Consider the following 5957-nt stretch of genomic DNA (forward strand, 5'->3'; position numbering starts at 1 on the left):
GGGGAGGCAGGAGAATGCAATTTGTGAGAAAATCCAGGGGATATCTAGAGTATTGTAAATTCTATTTCTTAAGCTGGGGGGTGGCCATGGGGTGTTAATTTTATTATTATTATCTAAATCAAATTAAATTATTATTTAAATTTGTTTCCTAGACATGATATATTTGATAATAAAAATATTTAAATCAAATTAAATTATTATTTAAATTTGTTTCCTAGACATGATATATTTGATAATAAAAATATTTAAATAAAATTAAATTATTATTTAAATTTGTTTCCTAGACATGATATATTTGATAATAAAAAAATACTCCAGCTATAGTGGATGATTGACTACAGGCAGGCAAAATTAATACAGGTGAGACTCGTGATAAAGCTGTTGTTAGAATCCATCTGAGTGGAGATGGTGGCATGGCTAGTGTGTGGCAGTGAGTGAGAATGGATCAGATGTGGCTATATTTTGAAAGTGGAGCTAATAGGAATTGAATATGCATTGGATGTGGGATGTGAGTGGAAAAAGGAGATGGGAAAAGAAGTAGAGAGGAGCAGCCTAGGGGACAAACACCAGACCTCATCTTTCCAGACCTTTCTAGCTCTCGTGAGCCTATGACCCAAGGTTCTAAGAGGTCTTGGTGAAGATCTTCAACAAAAGCCCAGAAAACACCTGTTATTGGTGGCCAGCAAAGAAGCCTAGACCCCTCCATGCCCATTTCCACGGGAGCTTCCCCAGGCCCTCTCAGAGCTCATAAGCCTGCTCCCTGTGGGACGGGACTTCAGCTCTGACTGCTTGTTCCAGGGGCACTGGAGCGGAAACAAAGAAAAAAAATGAAGATTTAAGAGTGAGGGGGGGGAAATGAATCTCTTGTTGTTTTTCCAATAAAGTAATTCACTAGATAATGGCTTTTGAGCAGTCTAAGCAGAGAAAATGAATGAGAATAAAAATTAAAACAAAACCCCAAAAATTAACATAACTAAATAGCATGGATGATCCCAGAGGAGGAAGGGAAGCAAAGTCAGGACAGGGGCTGCCTCACTTCCTTGGAAACTCTGCCAAGTTGAGATTGAAGCCCCTCCAAGCAGGGCCACCTGAGGTTAGCTTGACCCCTGCCCAGGCTACAGGGCCAGTTCTGCCAATCTGGCTGGTGCAGTGGAGCCATATGAGGGGCAGGGAGGTCTTTGTCAGACCTCTAACTCCATGCATCCACCCAACAATTCCTAAGAAGAAGGAGGCACCCTCACCACTGTGCACCCCCTCTTTCCCTCTTACCTTGGGGCAGCCAGAAGGATTCATTATAAGCCACAATGCTGGGGGCTGGATGATGCGAGGGCACTAATTTAAAGCCAGAGACAACCATGGTTCTTTGTTGAGATCATTTCCAAAAAATTAGTGTATGCATGTGAGGACTGAGATTTTGAAGCTCTCTCTTCCTCCCTGCCCCTTATTTTCTCCCTTCCTGTTCCTGAATCAGGCTAAAATAATACTATGAACTATAATAATGATAGCTACTTCTCCTCTCTACCATTTATTGTTCACCATATATCTGCCAGGCACACTGCTAAGTGGTTTCCTTGCATTAACTCATTTTATCATCAATAGCCACCTTGTGAGATAGATATTATTATCTGCACTTCACACCTGATAATGTTAGCTCACATTTATCCAAATCATTCCATCTGCCAGACACTGTGCAAAGAATTGGTGTTGTGTCATTATACGGAAGGTACTACTCTCATCCCCATATCACAGAGGAGGAAATTCACTCAGAGAAGCAAGGTAACTTGCTCAAGGTTTTACACCCTGTCAGGAGCAGGCCTGAGATGTCCGGGCAAGATTTCCTCAGAAGGGATCATAGCCTGGGAAGGCCCAGCCATCATTGTAGGCCAATTCAAGCTACTAAGGAAGCCCCCTATAGGCACTCTCAGTAACAGCTTTACTGAGATATCTGTGTTCTCTTTGCTCACAACACCGCTGGCCCCAAATGCAGGGGGTTTTCCACCTGCCAGCCAACTCTCCAGCTCTCCAGACACCAAGTGGGTGTTCTGCAATTCAATTCAGTTCTGACAATAGCTACCCATAGTTAGCGCAGGCCTCACAGGTTAAGGGCTCAGTGCTACAAGACTCCCTTCACTGCAGATGCTAATTGCAAGTCTGAGCCTTCCAGATGGACCAGCTATAAACTAGGGGTTCCCAGGACCCCCCTCCTTGAGTTTTATAATTTGCTTGAATGGCTCACAGAACTGAGAAAGAACTTTACCGTTACCAGTTTATTGTACAGGACACAACTCAGGAACAGCCAAATGGAAGAGATGCAGGGGGCAAGGTATGGGAGCAGGGCCACATCACCCTTCCAGCATCCCTGATGTGTTCACCAACCCGGGAGCTCTCTGAACTACTTCATTTAGGAGGTTTTAATGGAGGCTCCATTCACAGGCATGACTGATTACATCATTGGCCACAGGTGGTTAACTCATCTTCAGCTTCTCTCTCTGCCTGGAGGTCTGTGAGTGGAGCTGATAGTTCCAAATCTCTAATCACTTGTAGGTTTTTCTGGTGAACAGCCCCCACCTGAAGCTGTCTAGGGACCGTCCCCCCTAGCCGCCCCCCACCCACCAGCCACCCATCATCTCATTAGCATACAAACAGTACCCTTATGCCTCTAGAGATTTTAAGGGATTTAGGAACTGTGTGCCAGAATCCTCCAGAAACCTAAGACAAAGACCAAATGCACCATGAGCCCTCTGCCCTCTACATCTGTAAATTCAATGCAAATTCAATGAAAATATTTGGAAAACATAATACGTAACATAAACATAACAAACATAAATAAAAAATAATACAACAATTTAAAATAACACAAATTTTAAAAATATAGTGTAACAACAATTTACATAGCATTACATTGTAATAAGAATCTAGAGATGATTTAAAGTACATGGGAGGCAGTGTATAGGTTATATGCAAATACCACACCATGTTATATAAGGTACTTGAGCATCATAGATTTAATTTCTGAGGGGGGATTCCAGAACCAATCCCCCACAGATATTGAAGGATGACTGTATATTTCTTATTGTTACCACTGGCAAATCCATATGGGTCTACATCAACCTGAATTCTTGCCTCCTCAGAAGACTGAGGGGGTATAAGGCAGAGTGAGAGACCAAGGCAAGTTTTAGAGCAGGAGTGAAAGTTTGTTAAAAAGCTTTAGAGCAGGAATGAAGGGAAGTAAAGTACACTCGGAAGAGGGCCAAGCGGGCAACTTGAGAGATCAAGCGTACGGTTTAACCTTTCGACTTGGGGTTTTATATGTTGGCATTCTTCCGGGGTCTTGCACTACTTCTCCCCTGATTCTTCCCTTGGGGCGGGCTGTCCACATGTACAGTGGCCTGCTAGCACTTGGGAGGGGCCGCATGCACAGTGTGCATGCTCACTTGAGGCATTTTCCCCTTACCAATCCAGTGTTCCTAAACAAAGGTCATCTGCCACTTTCCCTCTTAGTGCGCATGCTTGAGCCCACTTGCCCAACTCCTGAGAGCTTATTGGGAAGCTGCTGATCATCAGTTTTAGATGTTTCTATCTGTTGGGAGGCTGCCGTTCCCTGGCACCGGCTGCAACCAATTATTATTTTAGAGAGATAGCTTAACAACTGCCTGACCATCACCTGACGGTCGCCTGACATTCCTGGTGGGGGTTGGGGGAAGCTCTCTCCTGCCCTGCTCATGTTTGACTAGCTACCTACGGTAACATTACTTCACAAATCATCTAATTCACACATTTAAAGTATATGATTAAATGGTTTTAATATATTCAGACTTGTGCAACTATCACCACAAGTTAGAACATTTGAATCACCTCAAAAAGAAATCTCTCATACCTTAGTTATCATCCCCAACTCTCCATTCTCACAGCTCTAGGCAACCGCTAATCTACTTCCTTTTTCAGTGAATTTGCCTATTCTGGACATTTCATATAAATAGAGTCATGCAATACATGACTTTTATGACTGTCTTCTTTTACTTAACATGATGTTTTCAAGGTTCATCTTTGTATATATCATGCTTTAGTACTTCATTTCTTTTTATTGCCAAATAATATTCCATTGCAGCGCTATATCATACTTTATCCATTCGTCTGTTGGTAGACATATGGGTGGTTTCCACTTTGGAGACATTATGAATAATGCCACTATCAACACTCAAGTAAAAGTTTTTGTGTGGATATAAGTTTTCATTTCCTTTTGGCATTTTTCTACAGGCCTCTGAGATAGTGTTAAAGACAAACATTTGAAAGTGAACTTTAATGAAGTCCAGAAGAGTGAGCTGCACTATCTTCAGCTTTCTGTGCCACTAATTTAATCCACATAACAACCTTGTGAAATAGATTTTTTTAATTCATATTTTAGAGTCAGATAAATAAAATCTATCTCTGTCCTCCAAACCCATGCTCTTAAGCACTATGCAATACAGCCTACCACTCAAATTGGGGGAAAGGGATGTTATTCCCATTTCTGCACATAATATGGTGTGGCTTAGCAGTCTAACAAGTTCTGGAGAAAACTGTTGAAACTGCTAGGTGGGAAGGGCTCCCTGGCAAAACTCCAACCAGCCTATGCACTGGGAGGAGTGCACACCTGGGTGGAGCCACAGAAGTTTGTGCTGTTTGTAGTGGGGAGGAGACTGGCCCCTCCTCTTCCTTTGTGGAACCTGGGAACTGAGAGGCTGGAAGCGCACTAGCAGGGACTCTGGCTTTGCAGAGGGTCCCTGTTTCCCTTTTTTCCTTTTCACCCAATAAACCCTGCCCTGCTCACCCTTCAAATTGCGACCCTAAATTTTGTGGCCGTGTGACAAGGACCTCACCTTTAGCTGAACTAAGGAAAAGTCCCACAACACTGTGAAAGGAAACTAAAAATCTGGGACCCCAAACTCATTATGCCACAGGGAAAAGTCAAGCTTGAAAACTGAGTTATGCAAAACTGCCTTCCATTTTGTTCCTAAATAGATTGATAGAAAGAAGGTTACTGACCTCCCCAAGGGTCCTGCCTCACAATTTGCTTACAAGGAAATTCCTTGTGGGCCCCAAGATCTTTACCCTAAAACAATTCTGTTGAATTTCACCCAAACAATGTAAATTAACAGATTATCTTCACAGGTATGGGACAAAGACAGGATTAGGAGTCATCCTTCCCTCACTTAAGACAAATGCATGTTTGACTGCGTTATCTACTGTTTATTTTACGTAAAAATGTAGATTAACCACACACCAGATGAATGCATAATTGACTCTTCCTCTACCCGCTTCTTTCACATGTAAAATATGGATTCAGTGACTGCTGATCAAAGCTTCAAAAGAATGCAATTGCTTTTCTCTTTTATTTACCCTACCCCCTTTTCTTTCCACTTTCCCTTACTGCCTGCTCTTTCCCCTTTAAATACAAAAGTTCTCAAACCCTGTTTGGAAAAAGCACGGATCACAGATGTTCCTGTGATTTTGTGTTCCTTTTTGCCAGGCACATGCTCAATTTTGGCAAAATAAACCTGTAAAATGATTGAGACTTACCTCCGTCACGTCGTTTGATTTACAGAACACATTGTCATTTGGCATCTCAAGGGTGTTGTGACTTTCGGAGTGTCTGAAGCTTGCTTCCTGGGCTGGGCAGTATTTATTTCATGAAGGACAACAGCAGTCACAGCAGAGGAAAAGCATTTTCCTTAAGTGGCTTGTGGGTGATAGACACCAACTAGGAAGGTGGAGCAGAGGAACAGAAGACCATTATTGCGTGCGTGTAAGACATCTCTAGAGACATCTGAAAATAAGTGAAAAGCATAGGCAGAGAACTAAGATGAGCCATTGAAATGAGGGAATTAATGCTAATGTGAACCTATTTGTACCAGTTACAGGTTGTGGGGAGTTAAAGAAACCTATGTTAAACATACCAGCCATTTTAGGGCTTTTTC

General features: G+C 42.5%; 1 annotated feature.

Annotated features, from left to right (window-relative positions):
• Window positions 4875-5417: an enhancer, noted in NCBI's record as "NANOG-H3K27ac-H3K4me1 hESC enhancer chr11:92850128-92850670 (GRCh37/hg19 assembly coordinates)". NCBI's record gives its function as "activates a minimal SCP1, AML or CMV promoter by ChIP-STARR-seq in primed H9 embryonic stem cells {active_cell/tissue: H9 hESC(primed)}" and the evidence as "EXISTENCE:reporter gene assay evidence [ECO:0000049][PMID:30033119]".

This window comes from Homo sapiens, chromosome 11 (genome assembly GCF_000001405.40).
Source record: "Homo sapiens chromosome 11, GRCh38.p14 Primary Assembly".
Lineage (NCBI taxonomy): Eukaryota > Metazoa > Chordata > Mammalia > Primates > Hominidae > Homo > Homo sapiens.